This window comes from Homo sapiens, chromosome 1 (genome assembly GCF_000001405.40).
Source record: "Homo sapiens chromosome 1, GRCh38.p14 Primary Assembly".
NCBI lineage: Eukaryota > Metazoa > Chordata > Mammalia > Primates > Hominidae > Homo > Homo sapiens.
In genome coordinates, this window is record NC_000001.11 from 157,820,701 (window position 1) to 157,842,202 (window position 21,502).

The 21,502-nt window shown below is 41.9% G+C and overlaps 1 protein-coding gene across 3 annotated transcripts; it reads right to left on the reverse strand.

Annotated features, from left to right (window-relative positions):
* Positions 1-6,367: 6,367 nt before the first annotated feature.
* On the reverse strand, positions 6,368-21,108 carry CD5L (CD5 molecule like). 3 transcript variants are annotated; one of them, XM_017002806.2, is made up of 6 exons: positions 20,974-21,108; positions 18,684-18,710; positions 15,135-15,455; positions 13,707-14,048; positions 12,492-12,812; positions 6,368-6,919 (listed from the first exon to the last, which is right to left on the reverse strand). In XM_017002806.2, the coding sequence occupies exons 1-6, from the start codon at positions 20,999-21,001 to the stop codon at positions 6,897-6,899; spliced, it is 1,062 nt and encodes a 353-aa protein (XP_016858295.1). In that variant the 5' UTR covers positions 21,002-21,108; the 3' UTR covers positions 6,368-6,896. The 3 variants fall into 3 exon arrangements, with proteins under 3 accessions (XP_016858295.1, NP_001334627.1, NP_005885.1); NM_001347698.2 differs by having other exon boundaries at positions 6,368-6,924; NM_005894.3 differs by lacking the exon at positions 6,368-6,919 and adding an exon at positions 10,211-11,268.
* Positions 21,109-21,502: the final 394 nt, after the last annotated feature.

Below are 21,502 nucleotides of genomic sequence, written 5' to 3' on the forward strand. Positions count from 1 at the left end.
TAAAATCACGGCAAATTACAATCTGGGGGATATTTGAAAATGAAATACAGAAAAGAAGTATATGCAAATTAGCTTCAGGGCACTTGAGAAGGGTTCACCATTAGTACTAACTCTGGCATTTGTAAAATTGCCCCTCTTTTCCCTCAAAATCAGGGCACCTATAATCTCTCCCATTGCTACCTTTAGCACATTAGGGATACCAGTTCTAGGCAAGTGAAGCCTAGATTAGGGATTGGAGGAGAATAAGCTATCTTAATTTTCAACATTTCTTAAATCCGTGAGTGTCTAGGATTAAGAATAACTAGAATGTGTGGAAAGTAACCTATTAGGGGAAAGATGCTGTCAGGCAATGATGTCTAAGTCCAGGTATCCAGCTCAATGAGTATGACTGAGAAAAGAAACTATTCAGTGATACGCAAAACCAGAGGGAAAAGGGAGCAATGTTGGTAACCAGGCTAACAGCGAAAGTGCTGAAAACGAATAGGTATTCCATAGCTTTATTTATTGGCTTAGGAAAGCCTGTGTGGGGATAAGCTTGTTTAGTGTAAAGTTTCAGGACCAATGCAAAAAAATCTCCTGAATGAGAATGTAGAGCCCTTTAAATCCAGGGTGTAAAGCTGTTTTTGCATACACTCTGCTGTTTCATCTCTCTCTTTTTCTTTTAATCTGTTGGTTTTTTTAATGTTTTAATTGACACATTGTAATTGTACATATTTATGGGGCACAGTTTGACATTGCAATATAATACATATATATGTTGTACAGTGATGATCAAATCAGGGTGGTTGGCATATCCATTGTCTCGTGCAGTTTTCATTTCTATGTGGTGAGAACATTCAAAAGCCTCTTTCCTAGCTATTTTGTAATATATAATACCTTACTAGTAACCATAGTTACCCTACTGTGCAATAAAACACCAAACCTTATTCCTCCTATCGAATTGGCACCTTGTACCTGTTGACCAATCTTTCCCTCTCTTCCCTCCTCATTCCCTCCTCAGTCTCTGATAGATGCTATTCTATGCTATACTTCCATAATATCAACTTCTTATTTTTTTCAGATTCCACATATAAGTAAGTTCATGTGGTATTTGTCTTTCTGTGTCTGGCTTGGTTCACTTAACATGATGTCCTCCAGCTTCATCATGTTGTCACAAATGACAGGATTTCATTTTGTATGGCTGAATGGTATTCCGTTGTATATATACACCACATTTTCTTTATGGATTCATCTGTTGTTGGGGTCTTAGGTTGATTCTCATCACATCTCTTCCTGTGTGTCCTGCTCCAGTGCCTTCACAAGATGTTCAGATTAAAATGTGTTTCCTCCTCCACAGATATAAAGGCTATAACATTTTATTTGTTAAGCTCTCTCACACTTTTATTTTTATAATGTGATAGTTCATGCATGCATACAAAAAAGTAACATGAATATAAATTATGAAATACTACGATGAAATGAAAAGCCATGAGCCTATCCCCAGACTGTTTTAAGAACTTGAACATAAGGCGGGCGGATCACGAGGTCAGGAGATCGAGACCATCCTGGCTAACACAGTGAAACCCCGTCTCTACTAAAAAACACAAAAAATTAGCCGGGCGTGGTGGCGGGCGCCTGTAGTCCCAGCTGCGCGGGAGGCTGAGGCAGGAGAATGGCGTGAACCCGGGAGGCGGAGCTTGCAGTGAGCCGAGATCGCGCCACTGCACTCCAGCCTGGGTGACAGAGCGAGACTCCGTCTCAAAAAAAAAAAAAAAAAAAAAAAAAAAAAAAAAGAACTTGAACATAACATGATACTATTACATCTACTTGAGTGTGCCTTTTCTAACCCACTCCTCGTGTACTCTCCAGAAGTAATTACCACTCTGAATATTTTGTTTATAGTTCTCTTTCTTAAAAATCAGCTTATCGAGTTATAATTAATATACATTGAAATGAACCCATCATAAGTATATGATTCAATGATTTTTGACAAACATACACACTGATGTAAAAGCAATCACTGTCATGATCTAGAACATTTCCATCATCTCAATGGGTTTCCTTGTGTGCCTTCCCAGTCACCCCAAACCTCCCAGAACCAGGTAACTCTCCATCTGCTTTCTATAGATTTGATTTGCCTTTTCTAGAATTTCCTACAAATTGAAACATATAATATTTACTCTTTTGTTTCTAAGTTCTTTCCTTTTGCATAATATTTTTGAGATTCATCCATGTAGTATGAATAAAGCTGCTATAAACATTCATGTACAAAATTTTGGGTGACTATTCCAGGGTGGAATTATTGAATGAGAATATGCTTATGTTTTCAGGAAACTTAAATTACTTCCCTACTTGATTTTTACTATTTTACATTCCCACCAGCAGTCTGAATTCCAGTTTCTCCATATCCTCTCCAACTCCTTTTTTAAAGCCAATTCAATGCATGTGTAGAGATATCTTATGAGTTTAATTTGCATTTCTTGGCGGCCAATGAAGCTAAACATTTCTCATGTGTTTATTAGCCCTTTGTATATTTTCTTCCTTGAAATGTCTCTTCCTGTTATTTTCCTATTTATTCATAAGGCTGCTTGTCCAATTTTTGTCAAAAAACAAAAACAAAAAAGAGATCAGAATTATCTAATTTTGGTGAAGCCCAATTTATCTTTTTTTTCTTGCATGGTTAATGCTTTTTTTTTTTTTTTTTTTTTTTGAGATAAGGTCTCACTTTGTGACCCAGGCTGGAGTGCAGTGGTATGATCATGTCTTTCTACAGCCTCAACCTCCCAAGCTCAAGCAATCCTCCTGCCTTAGCCTTCTGAGTGGCTGGGACTACAGGAGCGCACTATCATACCTGGCTAATTTTTTAATTATTATCTTTAATAGAGACAACATTGTGTGTAGTAAAGACAAATCTATATCCAGAGTAAGTGTCTATTCCAGTAAGGACAAAACACTACCGCTTCCATGATGGAAGTGGCCCCTTTTAATCAACCTGCCACCTGGTAGCTGGCTGATTACTCTGGGAAGTAGTGTCATATTAGGGACTCAGCGTGGTCTCCACTGCTGGCATATTAGGCACTCCAAGGCAGCTGTAGCCAGGTTGCCCTTGGAGAGTGCAAGTTCATGATGCTGAGCCCCTGCATTAACTCCATCTTTCCACCATGGCCACTTTGTTCATGAGCCCACTGGGCCACAACACGGGTGGCTGGGGAAGTGGGCTGACCCACTTCCACAGAATGGGTCATTTTATCCACTTGATTATTAAAGTCCTCCTCTGCTGAGGTCACCCTTTGTTGAGCATTTACATGGAACCCAAATATCTTCACATTCATTTTGCTCATTCAAAGAGGTCTATCTACATACCCCTTCCCCAAATTTCCTTATTCACCAATTTTCCAGTCATCTTTCTTTCAAGTCTCTGACCATCCAGCCAAACTATTGCCCACAGTCCATGAATCTGTATAGAATTGCACTTCAGGTCATCTCTCCTTCCAAGCAAAAGTGCACAACCAGGTGCACTGCTTTAAGGTCTGCTGACTGAAGATTTTTTTTCACCACTGTCTTCTAGGAATGTCTCAGGAAGGTGCTGCAGCCGTCCACTTTCATGTGGTGACTGCATATTACATAGAACCGTCTATAAATCAGGCCAGAGAGTCTTCTCCTCCTCTGTCAACTGATTGGAGGGAACTCCCCATGAAGCCACAGGTGCAGGCTGGGAGAGAGACGGCAGTGTAGCAGGAATGGAGATTGTGGATATTTTAACCACCTCTTCATGTAGTATCACTGAGGTACAGGGCCCCTAAATTATTTTCCGATTTATTTCCCATCCTCTGAAACAAAAATGCCTTACCAATAAGTCTAGAGCAGCTGCTACTTCTCGCACACTAGATTCAATCAGCATAATGTCATCAATGTAATGGACCAGTGTTATATCTTGTGGAAGAGACAGACACTCAAAATCTCTGTGAAGTACGTCATGATATAGGGCTGGAAAACTGAAATGCTCCTAAGGTAGGACAGTGAAAGTGTAGTGCTAGCCTTCCAGCTGAAAGCAAAATGTTTCTGGTGAGCTTTATTGACAGAGATGGAGAAAAGGGCATTTTCCAGATCAGTAGCTATATACCAGGTATGAGGGGATGTGTTAATTTGCTTAAGCAATGAAACCACATCTGGTACAGCAGCTGCAATTCATGTCTCCTCATGGTTAAGCTTATGATAATCCACTGGAATTCTCCAGGACCCATCTGTCTTCTGCACAGGCCAAATAGGTGAGCTAAATAGAATTGTTGTAGGAATCACTACCCCTGCATCCTTAATTGTGTCACTAATCTCCGCAATTCTTCCAAGAATGCAGTCTTGCTTTTAACTTACTATTTTTCTAGGCGGAGGCAGTACTATTGGATTCTACCTGGACTTTACCATCATAGTAGCCCTCATTCCACAGGTCAGAGAAACAATGTAGGGTCTTTGTCAGCTGCTGAGTATATCTATTTCAATTATGCATTCCGGAGCTGGGGTTATAACCACAGGATGGGTTCAGGGACCCATTGGGCCCAATGTGAGACAGACCTCAGCTAAAATTCCATTGATCACCTGAACTTCATAAGCTCCTACCCTGACTTCTGGAGCACAGTGATGTTTTGGGTCTTCTTTACTCAGAATGAATTAGGGCTGGAATCCAACCGTCCCCAAGAAGTCTGATTATTTTATTTTCCCCAGTGCACAATTATCCTGGAAAAAGGTATAGATCCCTTTAGAGAGGCTTTGGAGAAAGATTAGTAACAAATTTTTGGTATTGTACTAGTTTTCTTCCTCAAAGGCACCTACCCTTTCCTTCATTCAGGAGGTTCTAGCTTTGTAAATTGGCTCAAATCTAGAAATTGATTGAGGACTGTGACTCTCTGTTTCTATGATTTAGGTTAGACTGTTATTTGCTTGACCTAAAATGTTTCTGTTTATATAGATCAAGTAAGAAATTAGTAGGCTTCCTATCTACTTCAATTCCAGAGACCATGATGATCTAGTCAGTGTCATAGGTCTCTGTAAGTCAGATTATTCTGATGATTGCTCTGACTTTGTTGTCCACTTTGGTAACCACACCTACATAGCCTTTGGCAGTTGAATGCTATCACTTGGCCCTGCCATCCTGGGATCCAGTTACTCCTATTGCATTTTAATTTCCCAATTCAGTGACTGCAATTTCCACTGTAAGGCCAGCCTACAGAGAAGAGCGATGAAAGAGTTTTTCAGATGCCAGGGCTCCCCTCAGAAATTTATTTCTCACAGCTAATGATAAAATGTGTGTCTTCTGAACTATTCCAGTGTGTGTGTGAGTAGGTCTTAAACGATAAAACCTCTTTAACAGTCCACTTTCCCTAAGTTGTTCAATCTCTTCTTCTACATTAAACCAAGGCAGTGTGTGCCACCTCACTCTTTGTGGGCCACCTTTTGTTCCATGTTTTGTCCTACTAACCAAACAAATGGCAAGAGCCCTTTTCACCTTCATGAGCTGCAATATTAAAGAAAGAATATATACTTTGCAAGCCCATATCAATAAATTCTGCCTAATCAAACTTAAGTTCTTTTCATCATTAACTTATACCTTTAGTATTCATTCCCACATGTGTTCCCTAGATTTCTGTCTGTTTGAATTAGAAAAACTCAAGCAGTTCTTTTGGAGTGTAGTGTGACCTCCTCATGGGTCACAATTTATATCTCACCTTTAGAGGCTTGTTGCAATGTGAGTATAGTTATAGATCTAGAATCAAAGAAAAGTGGTAGGAGTGGGTCCTGAGGAGAATTGGCGTTGTCTTTCATGACTCTGGGGAGACCTTACAGTTTCCTCAGGCCATGCAACTTTAGTCCCTCAGATGGAATAGAGAGGCCAATACCTCTGGGGTGTGGATGCCAGTCTGCCAGGTGTCGTTAGGCTGCCTGAGAGTTTTCTCACACATCCCCATCCTAACTTACAGGATCTCATCATTTCCCAATCAATGCCTGCCCTTTAATGGTAGATACGCTGAAGTTCTGGGGGGTTAAATTGCTTTGTAGTTTAGCCAGTTGCACAATTGAGATCCAGCATTTGATTTTCAGCAATCTCAACTCTGTAGCTACAGGAGATAAGGGTCTCCCTTCAGAGCACATATAAAAGTTTTCAGGTGATTCATGTGGTAATTGAGCTGTGATTTCAAATCCCTGAGCTCATCTTTTTCTTTCACCACTTTGTCCAGTAGTATTAAGAGTAACCAGCCAACCTCATTGTATTTGCTAGTTTTCCAAAAATGTTTGAAAGTATCATAAACATAGTCACTCAGCTTCTTGCTTCTTATGAGTGGTTGATTAGGAATATCTAATGTGGATATTTTTGTATCTTTATTACCAGTTCAAGCCATGAACACATAGTGCTATCTTTATTATTGTAAATAAAGTTACCAGAATTTTATATCTAATTAGATTATAGAGCCAATTTCAGAAACCCCATAACCAATTCAGAAAATTTATCCTTAAAATTCCGTTCCTCTAGAATCTCTTTCAGTACCAAAATCTGTATTTTGTCAGAGTTCTTCAGAGAAACAGGACAAATGGTGTATGTGTGTGTGTGTGTGTGTGTGTGTGTGTGTGTGTGTGTGTGTGTTATAATGTATTTAAGTAGTTGATACACACAATTATGGAGGCTGGGAATCTGCTGTGTGCAATGTGGAGACATAGGAAAGGTGGTGATGTAGTTCCAAACTATGTCTGATGGCCTGAGAACTAGACCTGATGTTGTAAGTTCTGATCCAACTCTGAAGGCCTGAGAATCAGGGGCACCAAGTATAAGTCCCAGTCCAAGGGCAGAAGAAGATCAGTGTTCATCCCATGCAGTCATGTAGACAGTAAATGCTCCCTTCTTCTGTGTTTTTCTTCTATTCAGGCACTCAACAGATTAGATGATGCCCACCTACACTGGGAAATGCAACATGCTTTACTCAATCTACTGATACAAATGCTAACTCATCTGGAAACATCTTCACAGACACACATAGAAATAAGGTTTAACCAAATATATGGATGCCCCATGACTCAGTGAAATTAACATATAGAATTAACCATCACAGGTAGTTTCAGGGAAAGTGTTAAGGAGGAGAAAAATAACTAAGACAGAGCTCAACCAGAGGAATCTGGATAGGCAACATAAGGTGGGGTCCAGAGGCAATCATAACTTAGTTGCAAATTCCCATAGTAGAGTAGTTAAAAGTGCCATTATCACTTCTAGTTTATTATCATTGCAATTTTATTAGCTCTTCCTCATGTTCCATTTTCTTCCAGAACCCAGAAGAAGGTTTATATTTGGGTTCTGCCTCAACCATTTCACAGTATAACTCAAATTAACCTTTGATGGAGGAAGGAAAGAAATGAGGAGTAAGTGGAGGAGAAGGAGTGATAAATTCCACAAGACCAGGGAATTGAGTGGTTCTGGGTTCTATGTGGAGCAACAACTTGAGTCTCATATCCTTGCAATGCCCTAGGAGGACAGTGGGACCTCAGAAGGGAGAACCTCTAGGGTGCATCTAGAAAATGTAGAAGCCATGGTGTCAAACCCAGTAGTCAATTCATCTTACTTGGTCCATCAACACAGTCAATACATACCTCCTTCTTGAAACACTTTCTTCATTTGGTTTTAAAGATATCAGTCTCATGCTTACTTCTACTTCACTGTCTTCTACACCTGTGATGGACAGGTCCTATGTCCCCTCAAGTGCCCGCATGTCTTAGCTTTTCTACCTGTAATTTTCACTGGTACTCAGGAGTTCACTCAGCCCATACACAAGGTTTAACACCAACAGGAGCAACTCTCAATCAATGGCATATGAGATTCGGTAGATAAATACTTCAGCTTACTCATTCCTTGGTGAGAATATTTTGAAATAATTTTTACACAGTGCCTCAGAAGACCCCCAGAGAGATGGAGACTCAGTTGCCCCCAGCAGTAACCAACTCATTAATGCTCACTTTGTTGGGTTTTCTTTCTCTCCTACTAACCTTCCTCAGTCTCTCACAAGTGTTTCCTGAAATTATCACCTAATAAAAAATCTGCACCTAAGTCCTTGTTTCAAGGGAATGTAAGCTAAATGTTGGATTAAATGTTGGTTCTCTGAGGCTCTGTTCTTGGATCTCCTCTCCTTTTCTGTCTCACTCATTTTCTTGGGACTGAAGTCCTGTAGTCTAATGGCTTTGAATACCATATATGTGTAATGGTTTCCCAGATCATGTATCCAAGCCCAGGCCACTCCTCTAAACTTTTACTTATTATCTCCACATGGAGATCTAATAGGCATCAGAATTAACATGTCTAAACAGAGCTTCTGATAGCTCCTCTCCCAAAAACCTTCTCCTCTGGAAGACTTACCACAGTTTAGTAAATTTGATGTGTTTGAGGAAAGGAGAGAAAGCCCATGTGACGGCAATGGGTTGTTAGAGGACAAGAGTAGCATGAGATGAGGTTGGAGGAGTAGGCAGGGACCAGATCATGCACAGGCATTTAAGTCTAAGTAAGAAGTTTACATTTAACTCATGTGCAATGAGAAGCTCTCAAAGACCCTTTGGCAGGGTTATAACCTGATTTAAATTACATTTTAAGAGAGAAATGAGACATTGAGAATAATTGAAAGTTCATCAGGTAACAAAGTTGAAGAGAGCTTTTCCAACAGAGGAAAGAGGAAGCATGAATAGCTGTCAGTTCTGATTTGCCTATCTTCTATAACCCACCTTCACTAGACCTTTAATTGTTCTGTGTTTTAATGTGGAGGCCATGAGCTTTAAATGTCACCCTTGTAAAAGAATTATTGGGCATTTATACAACCAGGGCCACTCAAAAGTAATATCTTGGAGTAATAGAAATAGAAATAGGCCTCTGTTTATAGGCTCTGGTCCTTATCTTTTCAGATCCATAAACATGATGTTATAAATGCAATGAGAGTCTATTCATTAGTAATAACTGGGTTTAGCTACTCAGCCTTATAAAAAATTAGTGAATTATCATTTTATGAATTTAAAATAAATATATTATCTGGGGTTCTTTTGGTTGGAAGTACGAAAACCAACATAAGTCAATCAAAAACTTCAAAAAAATTATTATGTACCATACAGCAGTTTGTCACAGAACCCAAGGCCAGGAATGCCATTTGACCCCAGGAAGAGGCAAGGATGAGAAACCAAAAATACTTTCTGGGGTTTCTGTGTGTCTCATCTATGTTCCCCTCTGAGCATCTGTTTCATTCTTACTCATATATCTCTGTGGAAGGGCTTCCTCCGGTTCTCTGATCCATGTGGTAAAGCATTTTCTTTCCTTCTCTGAAGCTAGGTTTCTCTACCTATCTTCCCCTGCTACCTTTTAAATATTTATTAAAAAATTGAGCTACAATGGAACTGCGGGTTAGGATGCAGAAACACACTCCAGTGTCATTAGCAGTCATGGGATCCCATAGCCAGTATTCAAGAGTCTAGCTCTTTCTGTAGGCAATTTGTCTCACATTTCATATCTGAATAATGCAGGGTAAACATGACAAGGATGCCCTAAACCTAATGAATGGACAAGTTTGTCAGCAAATAGTATCAGTTCCATGCATTTCCTTAGGGACTCTTTTCAGAGGACCCCGTTATTCCATCATTTGAGCTTTGCAATGTCAGAAATTCATTCTCTCTTCAGTGTTTTTTCATCCTTCATTAAAACCTAGTGCTTTAAGAATGAATCCTCTAGGACAGGCAGTGACTTAAGGAATCACAGTTTTGCCTCCGGACTCCCAGCCGAGTGGTGGGCTCTCTCCCTCCCACTCTCCTCCTGTCCCACTGCACCCCTCCTCCCACTCTCTGTCTTTCCCTGATGATTGAACTGTTTTGACAGAATTAATTGAGTAAGGAGCCAGAGACCAGTGTGGTTCTGGGTTAGAAACATAAACACACTGGTTAGAAGGAAAGCAAAAAAATGTCAGATTAGAAAGGCATGGCATTAGAGTTGGCCTATCAGAAGTGTGTTAGCCTGAAGTCCAGGAGCAGCAGAACTGTCTTTGGGTACACAGGTTGGAGCAGAAATAGACTGGGAGACAGTTGCACACCCAGAGGACAGCTTTTTACACATATGGTTGTAACTGGAAGGTTCTCTTCTACCTAACCCTGTTTAAGAAACTGCCATAGAGAATCTGACACAGCTGCTTCTCTGTGGGCAGAAAGAGCATATCACACAGAGAGGCAATTGTTGAGACTGTGAAATCTGATTTATTAGATAAGTGTAAATGTGTAAATGTAGCCGTATAATAAGTACTCAGCCTAGCCTCAGAATCTAAAGTTGTCAATTTTTACAATCAAGTCTTGATTCTCTTATTTCTGTCTTGCCTCAAGCTTACAGGCCCCAAAGTCTCAGTTGATAAAGTGAAAATGATATTTTTCACTTTCGCTTGGCATAAGACACAACTTTAGCCCTCCCTGATCTCTTTCTGCCTCTTTCTTGACCTTTTCCCAGTAACCAATATATTTTTCTTTGAATAAAGTAAAATGTATTTTTGACATTCCTCTCATTAAATGTCAACCATGTTGGCAGGTTGTATAGGGATGGACAACAAAGATTTTTATTGGGGCAATCAGAGGATGAAACATCATTTTTTACACGTCATGAAAAGGTCTAGGATTATAGGACGCTGCTCTGCTCCTGAAAGAATTGTCTACCTACACTAAGAAATAACAGAATAGGGAGGTGTTGCTATTGTGGTCACCTGAAGCTTGAGGAAAAAAAAAAAAAGTAGTCCAATCAAAAGAATTCTAAACTTTCCCCCAAGTTGCAAGAAATTGTCTACCCACATTTTCTTTCAAATGTTCCTTTCATTGTTTCATTCCTTTAATGTTTGCAGACATAGATTAGTAATAGGACCTAGATTAGTAATGTTTGCAGACATAGACCTTAGTAATGGTCTGCACATCTGACCAAAGTGACAGGTTTGAGGATTCCAGGCAGCTTGAGAAAAGGCAGGAAAGGCCAGAACCAGTGTCAAAGGGTCAGGGTTGAGCACAGGATACATGGAAGCTCATCTTCCCCAGCAAGAGGGAACTCAACAGCTCACATCTACAGGCAGCAATGGGGGCTGCTTGTCCCTGAGAGTAAGGCATAAGCCCAGTGTTCAGACTCCTGAGGGGATGAGGGAGTAGTGGCTCAAGCCTGAGCCCCAGAATGAGTATGAGGATAATCAGGGCTCAGGAGAACAAGCAGAGGGCAGGCGGGGCCAGGGGGGCCAGGTCAAGCAACACCAGGATACTATCCTATAAAGAGAAGAGGAAAATGCAGTAAGGATGGGTATAGTCCAGGAAGGAATTATTCAGTTGAAACTCACATTAGCTAAGGGAGAAGACTGGGGCTCAACATAGGAAAAAGAGCTAAGCCATGTACAGATCCCACACTGATGTGAGCCAGGCCAGAACCTTGTGCAGTATCCCAGGGACTTACTCAACTAGCTCCATGTGAGTCACAAACAGTACTGACATCTATCAACATATCTTATCCTCACACAATCACAAAGTCTTTGAGGTAAACCGGACAAGTGTCTTTCTATTTCTACCCATGGAAACACTTAGGTTCTGAGGAGTTAAGTGACTAACATTACACAGCTTCAAAGTAGCAGCAGCCTGGCTCAAACCCTAGCCTCCTGCAGCTGTATTTATTCTTCTCTGGGCACTAACTGCTTCCCACATACCTTGGTCAACTATCAGTTCTTATCTAGTTCCAGAGTTAGTGGTTTAACCAAGTAGCCCCACATTGATTACACAATGGGGCTTCAGACGGGTGGCTTTTTTGAGTCAGCCACGCAGCGGCTGCACTTGCATTTTCTAACCCAAATTGGGAAAGGGCTTCTTCCTTCAATCCTCTGAAGAGTTCTACAGTTCAGGGCTGGTATTGTGGTCTCTCTGATAACTCTCTTATGGGCATTCTCAAAAAGCTCCCTACTGTAGTCCCACTCTCCCAGACTAGTTTAAAATCTAGGAGTGATGACAAATGGAATGAGGTAGAACCCTCTTTGATAGTTTAACTTAGAGTTTCAAGGTTAGGGTCATCCAAGAGAATAACCTTGGGTTGAGAGTAAAGATGGTTTATTATGGTTCTGCTATATGATTTGAAAGCAATTTTAATGCTTTTGAAGGTTGCTTATTTTCTCCGACTCTCACTTTATGTTTACTATGTTTAATATAAAAATGTTGGTGAAATAATTTTCAGAACGCCTCTTGTTTTTACATTCAATACCTGTATGTTCTCACGATCAATACGTATATAGTGTCAGCCCTACCTCTACCCACCAGCCCCAGGAATAAAACCTACCACAGGGCCTGGACTTCCAGCCATATCCCTGGAAGTACAGAGCAGGTGATGACTATGAGCAGCTTCATGGCGCTTGTGAAAATACCCTTTTCCCCAGAGTACACCCCCATCATTTCCTCTTCCTTTATCATCCTCCTTGCCAGCCCTTATGAACTCCATCTGTAGGACTCACCTGAGCAGATGACAGCCACATCTTCCTGGTGGGTGCAGTCGTGAAACCCCCAAAATCTGTGCTGGCACTGCTCCAGGGACTGCTCCTCCCCTGAGCAACGAACATTATCCAGCCAGATGCGGCCAACCCCAGGGCCATAGCATTTCCGGTCTCTGAAGGAGGGAGAGAGGGACTTCCCACAGCCCAGTTGCTTGCATACCACCTGGTCCTCCTTTTCTCCCCAGTTGTCATCACAGACAGAGCCCCATACGCCCTTGTGCAGCACCTCCAGTCGCCCAGAGCAGAGGTTGTCTCCTCCTACTAGTCTCAAGTCAAAGGGATCTGCAGGATGGGGGAGGAAGTCAGGGGTTGGAGACAGGAAGGGAAAGGAGAAAAAATAAGATCATTTATTTTTAAAATTTTTTCATTTTGTATTTTTTGTATGTTTGTTTTGAGACATCGTCTCACTCTGTTGCCCAGGCTGGAGTGTAGTGGTGTGATCACCACTCATTGCAGCCTCAACCTCGAGGGCCCTAGTGATCCTCCCACCTCAGCCTCCCGAGTAGCTGGGACTACAGGTGCATGCCACAAAGCTCAGCTTTTTTTTTTTTTTTTTTTTTTAAGAGACAGGGTTTTCCATATGTTGCTCAGGCTAGTCTCAAACTCTTGGGCTCAAGTGCTCCTCCCACCTCGGCTTCCCATAGTGCTGGTATTATAGGCATGAGCCACTGCATCTGGCCAAGAAGATCATCTACATGCTTACCAAGCCCCATCAGCACATTTGAAACTCTCCACATGTATTTCTGTGATTAGAGCTCCTTCTGTAGCTCTCCATCATGTTCTAACCTCTGTTGTCCAGGTCGACTTCTCTCACAAAGATATTTTCACTTCCCCGTCTATTTTATAAATCTAATATTTATAAATGACATTCTAAGAAGTTTTAAAAATTGAAGAACTTAACAGATACATAAAAAGATGTACCTTGTTCCTACAATATAGAATTCAAACTAATGAGAGTTCATGTTAATATAGTGCTTAATATTAAAAGCATTTTCAGATACAAAGTTGGGTATTATTATCTCCATTTGAAAAACAAAGGAATTAATTATCTGCCCAGTTAAATAAGTTTGCAATGGTCCTTTGGTGCGTTAGTAGCTCTTTGTAAATACTGTTTGAATGAGATTCCACATAATTAAATCCATGAATAAACCTAGTCTTTGGACGCACAGGCATTACCTTCACATTCGACCCACGTGTCTTCATCATGGTTGCAGGTGTTCTTCCCCCAAGGCCCAGAAGGGCAATCCTGAAGGGTTGCTTCTCGTCCTGAGCATGACATCTGGCTCAGCCAGATGGGTTTTCGGCCATAGGCATGCTTGTTGCAGCGTTTTTGAGTCAGTACAGCCCTCCCACATCCCAGCTGCCGGCACACCACCTTTGCGGCCCGGAGGCTCCAGCCTGTCTGGCACACGGTATACCACTGGTTCTGGTGCTTCACTTCCACGCGTCCCTTGCAATGCCCAGGGCCGTCAGCCAGCCTGACACCCTCTGGGACTGGGGAGAAAGAGCTCTCTGGGTCTGAGGGGAAAGAAAGAGAGCGTGTCTGTTCTCTGCCAGAACATGGTCTTCTCAGTAAAGGCGGCCCAATGGACACATCTCACAGTTCTTGGTGTTCAGTACAAGGCATGCTAAAGTGCTTAACACTGCCTCATAGATGCCTGCTGAAAGAATGAATGAGGGAATCAATGAAGAAAATGTAACTTCCAAATTCAAAGCTGAATCATTATCATTTCTGTAGCATTTTAATTTTTCAAATTGTTTTCATGTTCAACTTGTCATTTGATCCTCACAAGAGATCTTGTATAGACTTTTAAAAATAAATACAATAACATACAAGATATATCCAACACCAAATGCTTTTTGGTTCATTGTTGGCGTTATGAACTAAATATCTCAGATTAGTGCTCCCAACCCTCAATCTTTCTAAAAAATAGGACTGAGTCTTCAATGTCAAGGCAAAAAGTGACTGTTTCCCTAGAAACAAATTCTGTGGGCAGACAAAGAGGAGCCATGGACTAGCTCCTCAATCACATCGCTGTCTAATGAACAAAAGAGAAGAGACTACTCATACATATAAAGCAAGTATGTGGGGGGAAGTAAAGGAGCACAGATCCGTTTGTCTATGTATCTTTCTATCATCTATCCACCTGTCTATTAGATTGTGTTAGTTTCCTATGAGTATCTCCTTTCTACCTGATTAGAAGATAAACTCCTGGAAAACTGAAACTATTTTTTAAAAAGCATACATTATACTTTGTGAGCTCATTTCTTCCCCCATAACTCCATGCCCAGCTCCAGATACAGTATACTCTATTCAACAAATGTTTAGTGGTGTGCATGTTGGCATGTGTGTAAATAAGAGAAACAAGTTCTCATATAGATTGAAACTAAGATGAAAGCATTTGCTCAACCAAGTAGGAATTGCAGTTCTAGGTGAGGATATTGTTTATCTCCAGCACTGACAGTTGGGAAAGTATGAGATGTGGGGGGTGAGGGGCCAATTAGCCATTGTGTGAACGTCTATGGTAGGGAATGAAGACCAACAAGAGTGGCCGTGAGGGGTATGGCAGCTGGCAAGTGGTCCGGGACCCCTGCCATACTCACTCTCACACGATGCCCCAGCATCTTCATCATGTGAACAATCATAAACTTCTTCTTGCTCACACTGAGCCAATGTATCTTCTGTTCCTGTGCAACTGACTGATTGGATGAGGACCTTTTGCTCTTTTTCTGCTGGTGGCTCATACAAAATACCACTAGGGGTTCCGCTGGCAGCTCCACAGCCCAGCTCCCGGCACAACACAGCCACGTCCTTAATGTCCCAGCCGTCATCACACACGGTGCCCCACTGGCCTTTCTGTTCCACCTCCACCCGCCCTTCACAGCGGTGGAGGCCCCCCACCAGCCGCACTCCAGATGGAGACGCTGCAAAGAGACGGGTTGTTAGCTAGAGGCCTGAGAGGAGCTCAGAGGGTCCTTAGGCATGTACTCAGTCAATCTGGGACTCTTCCACCATTCAAATGGTGCAGAGTGTTGGGGAACTAGAAATAAGGGATCAGAAGAAAAGGGAAGGAAGAGGAGCTTCAGAACTCCGTGTCTGAGTTCTGGTTCTGCTACAGCCTTAATGGTACCCTGTCAAGAAACTCTACTTCAAGATACCTGGACATGACTGCTGGCATTTTCAGATTGAAGATTAAGGAAAAGAGGTTGGTTGAAGATCCAGCAGAGTTTTAGATTCTCTGGCGGTCAGAATCAGAAGGCCCTAAAGAGATCATAAAGTCCACCCCATTATTTCACAGATGAGGAAAATCATCCTCATGAAAGTTATGGTCCTATGGCTACATTGTCCAAAAGTGGAAGCTCCAGGCCAGAACAGAGGTGTAAAGAGAATATCTGTTGCGTTTTTCCTCTTCATGACTCTGTCTCTCTCCATGGAAGTCAGATTGAGGCAGAGTGTGTACAATTCGGGCTGAACAGCCTAACTATCTCTCACTCTCAGTGGCCAATCCATGCCCATACTTGCTGCTTCCTATGAAATTGTTCCTTGTTCAAGCGCCCATCTCAGGAGAAATACAGAGCATAGGGAAAGGGAAGAGTCAGAGTCTCAGAGCCCCAAGAGTTTGGTCTAATTCCAGGGACTAGAAGCATAAGAGAGGATTCATGGAGTCTCCAGATAAGTTGTGAGAAATCTAGGACTTGATTCAGTTTCATGACTAGAACTCTGGAAGTACAAAAGCTAACAGAGGTGGGGTGTGATGGCTCATGCCTGTAATCTTAGCACTTTGGGAGGCTGAGGCAAGTGAATTTCTTGAGGTCAAGAGTTTAAGACCAGCCTGGACCACATGGTGAAAACCTGTCTCTACTAAAGAAAATAAATAAATGAATACAAATATTAGCCAGAAATCGCTCAAACTCAGGATTTGGAGGTTGTAGTGAGCCGAGATCATGCCACTGCACTCCAGCCTGGGCAACAGAGCAAGACTCCATCTCAAAAAAAGAGAAAAAAAGAAAAGACTAACAGAAATTTTCTTCCTTCCACCAAGACATGCAAGGAGAGTGGAGATGGCTGTGTAGGGAGACCAGGGAAGAGCCTATTAGACAGCAAACATTTGTTAGGTGCGTACTACATTTCTGTTTTGTTTGTTTGTTAGTTAGTGAACTCAGAGAACAGTGATGAGTTCTGCCCTCAAGAAGCTTATATTAAGCTTGGCAATCCCACCAAGCCTCCTGCAGCCTCAGAGCAATATAGCAGAGGCTGAATTTGCCATGCTTACATGGAGAGAGACGGTTAGCTGAGAGAGTTCTTGTGCACCAGGAGAGGCCACGTTTGGACTGGAAGTCTATGGCCTATTGGAAGATGAACAGCTTAATAGGGGCCAACATGGGCCACATGGGATGACCCAGGTTGCATGCATGGATAGAACGTGACTGCTGAGGACCAGATTTCCCACAGACTAACTTGTCACAACTGCACACAAAGTCCCCAGAGTTTAGAATCAGTCCAAGAGAAGTAGTTCAGTGAGAAAACTCTAATCTAGCTATTTTTTTTTTTTTTTTTTTTTTGAGACAGAGTCTCACTCTGTCGCCCAGGCTGGAGTGCAGTGGCACGATTTCGGCTCACTGCAAGCTTCGCCTCCTGGGTTCACACCATTCTCCTGCCTCAGCCTCCCAAGTAGCTGGGATTACAGGCGCCAGCCACCACACCTGGCTAATTTTTTTGTATTTTTAGTAGAGACGGGATTTCACTGTGTTAGCCAGGATGGTCTCAATCTCCTGACCTCGTGACCTGCCCGCCTTCGCCTCCCAAAGTGCTGGGATTACAGGTGTGAGCCACCACGCCTGGCCTAATCTGGCTAATTTTAAACTGCATCAGGAAGCTTATGTTTATTTCATGCATTTGTTTTTTAGTTTCTTTCCTTTGCTTAAATTTTTTTGGGAAAAAATATAAAAATGGAGGCTAGAGATAGCAATTAAAAGTTAACCATAAAAAATAGGGCTTTTATATAAACCGTAAAAAACTAAGAAAAGTTTTCATTTTCACACAACTGAGTTTAAGGCTTATAGATCTGGGTAAAAATATAATGTAAGAGCAGTTATCCAGAAACGTTTTTATCTTCATGAGTAGCATGAACCGTAAATAATTTGGGGGTCATTGTATCTGACATTAGAGTTTGGATTGGCATTATTGCATACTCCAAGAAATACTAGCTATCAGGATTAACAGGATATTTTCTTTCCTTGCTGATTGCAAAATTCTCAATTTTTAATCAATTTTCATTTTCTATGGGGTAGAAGACTAAAATAGCCATGGGAAAGAAGAAATAAATAAAAAATAAAAAACAAAAAATAAGTAAACAAGAAATTCAGGGAAAGAAGAAATAAATAAAAAAAAATTACTTTTTTAAAAACAAGAAATTCAGCTTGAGGAAACAGAAGGGCTAATCTGAATGTCAAGATGAGAACCCAGGAAGGTTGCATCTATCAGGGTATAGGATTCTCCACACCAATAGCAATGTTTCTGGCTGCCCCTCTCTGGTAAAGTCTCTATGATCAAGCAGAAGGGGAGACTGGAAGGATAATATACAAGAAACTGATAATCCACAACCCATAGCCTCCCTCTTCTATAAACTCATTCTCTCTGTGCACCCTTTCCTTGGGTTTATCATTTGTGCATTACCCAAAGACTCCCCGAGCAGGAAATCCAGCCTATGCTCTGCTGGTCAAGCTATGTGCTGCAAGCAACAATGCATTTCTAATTCAAACAAAGACACCATTAAGCCTGGCAGGGGGACCTGGATATGCTGGAAACCAACAGGAAGAAACCAAAAGGAAGTTCATTTTTCAGGTATGCCCATAAGGCAGTGAAGTGCATTCTAGACCTGAAATGAACCCAGCTCTTACTTGGATGCTGGCCAAGTGGCCACAGAAACCAAGTGGGGAGAGGTACCCCCTGCCAGGATAAACCACCCAAACCCTTCTAAATTCTGGAGGTGGAAATCTGCCCACACAAGACTGAGTGGGTGAGGTAGGAAGCCAGAAAGGAAGTCTGCTGGGCCTGTTTTGAACAAGTCTTTCTCTGTGGCTCAAGAAGCTTCAAAATTTTCCCTCTCCTAAGCTTGAGGCCTCCCTCTCAGAAACCCCCAAAAATCTTACCTAGGAATCCAGGTCTGGTGCAAATGGCTGGGGAAGAAAGAAGGAAATGAGTGAGGTCAATTTCCAAGGCTTTATTCAAAGAACACAACTCTAGAAGGCCTTCACAGAACTGTGTGAGACAAGAGTGGTAGATGCAGAGCCTCCAATGTCAGTCCTGTTGGGACCTTCTTCTTCTGGGATGACCATCCTCCAAGGACACAGGGACACTGGCTAGGAATCACAGAGACCAATTCCACCACAGCTAACTGGTTCAGCCTGCTTTCTTCACACGTGATGGTGGATAGATTGGTTTTCTATTCTAGTCAATTAGATTGATTGGTTGTTACTGCCTGAAGAAAAGTGTGGTGATACAGCCTCTTGGCTCAACAGGAAAGAGTGCTGGAGGCCACTGGGAAGATGCACTGGCCGGTGGAGGTAAAGATGCCATGGTGGGCAGAGCAGAAATTAGGGCAAAGGGGCAGGATATGCCTGTGTTCATCGGCACAGCATTTAGACCAGGTAAGCAAACTCTTACTGTAAGAGGCCAGACAGTAATATTTTCAGTTTTGTGGGCCATACAGTGTCTGTTGCAACCACTCAGCTCTGCCATTGTAGCCTGAGAACAGCCACATATATGTATGCAAGTGAGGACGGCTATGTTCCATTAAACCTTTATTAGACACTGAAATTTAAATTTTTTGTCATTTTCATGTGTCATAAAATAGTATTTCTCTTTTGCTTTTTTCCTACCATTTAAAAATACAAACCTCATTATCAGCTTGCAGGCTGTTTTAGCTGATTTAGATGAATAGCTCAGGAAGTAGCTCTATATGTAGTTCCAAACCTCCAGATTCCAGCACCAGCCTGTCTTTAAAACATGGGGGTTTCTTCCTGCAGGATCTCTGTATATTTGGACTCCTTTCTCCATAAGGTCCCTCCTAATGCTGTAGAGAGTCCTGGGCCCTGTAACCTCCAGGAGTCCCTGAGGCCTATGCATTTTCAACTGCAAAACACCCACCACCCCCATCTTATAGGATTTTTCAGAAGGTGCAAATATCTTTGGACCTCCAGCCTACAGTTTTTCAGGCAGATTCAAGTAGTTCAGTGGTTTATCCTGGAATATTTTCTTTTCTTGGTTTCCAAATAACCTCTCATTACCCTCATTCCCTTAATCTTCAGAATGTGGCCACTCTCAGGCTCAATGAGGCCTTTTCTGCAACTATCCAAAACTCAAGGTTATATTATACATATGGGAATCATTGCATAACCCCAACCCAACATGTGTACATGTGAAGGAAAGTGAGCATGGCAAGCCTGATATGCAGGTGCAAACGTGATATAGCCAGTAAGTGACTTGGAAGCTCTGCAGTAGGGTGGGTAACTGCAGAAGGCACAGGCCAGAAAGGCTTCATGAAGCAGGTGGAAGTGCACATGAGCCTGGAAGACCCAGTAGTATATCCATGAGGGGCAGGACTAGCCGTTGAGTGATGTGGGGGATGCATGGATGTTTAAGATGTGGTCAGTACCTTACATTGAACACAAAAGTGTCCAGTTGAGAGGATTGTGTGGGCTTTGGTGATGTACTAGATCATCAAGACATAAAAGTGGATGTGATTGATTAGCATAGGGATTTACCAGGCATTGTTAGATGCTTTATATTAGTTATCTTATAAAAAAAAATACTCCTAAAAACCTCTGAGGAACATAATATTATCCTCACTTCATAGATGAGAGAGCAAAATTTCAGAGAGGTATGGTAACCTACGAATTCACACCGCTAAGAAATCAAAACGGCAGGATTGAAATCCAGGTCTCCTTGGCTCCACAATCACCAGATTAACTAGGTTAATCTCTAGATTACTCTAAGCAATGAGAAACTGAAGAAAACTAGAAAAACATTATATGAAACACTTTTCAGAGGAAACCAGACAATATGATCAATGAAAGGTGATTGTCTTGCAGTTCTACTTCCTTTCCTGGCTCTACTTGCTGCTGCCCGGTGCCCATTCATTTGTCTTCTTACTAATAGTACATTTAGGAACACTTATGTAAAAAGAGAAATGGGATAAACTATCATGACTCTGTCATTACAAATATAAGAAAATAGAAAAAAATCTGTTAAAGTGAATTACAAATGTGTATGGATTAAGCGGCTTTTTAAGGATTAGAATAGTTACCAAATGTAAAAAGGAGGAAGAAGCTCATCCTTGAAAAACATCTAAATCTGTTCCAGGTTGGCGGGGAGAAAGTTCTCCTAATCAAAGTGCCAGAAAACTCTGAAGCCTAAACCAACAGGTGCAGAGATACTCACCAAGGATCAAGGAGAATAGCAGAGCCATGACCAAGGCAGGTGAAGGTGATGAGCTGAAATTTAAGGCTAGAAGGAGGTCCCCAAGCAGCAATATTTAGTTTTAGCTGCAAGTATGTTAAGAGGAGGGACAAAGACAGGTCCTGAGTGCAGGCAAAGCATTATCAGATGATCAGAAACCAATAGACTCGGGGGGCAGAGCTGACAGAGCTGGACTTGCTGAAATCAGCATGTTCCAGAGGAAAGGAGGTGGCCAGAACTGGCGGAAAAATGCTGAAAACAAAATAGAAACAGGCTATCATGACTTGGTTCTGCTGTAAGTCCAGCTCCGTCTGTCTCTCCTACAGCCCCTTTGCTATGTAAACAGAGGAAACACCTCCCACAAGGAAAGGCAGGTGCCAAAAATATGGCCATCTCTCAGTAGAAGACAAGGCAGTACTTAGTCGCCAAGGATGGTTTGCAAGGGAAATAAGCCAATTTTGATTCCTTTACCCCAGAGGGAAGTGCCTAGAAAATTTGGAAGCCAGAGGCC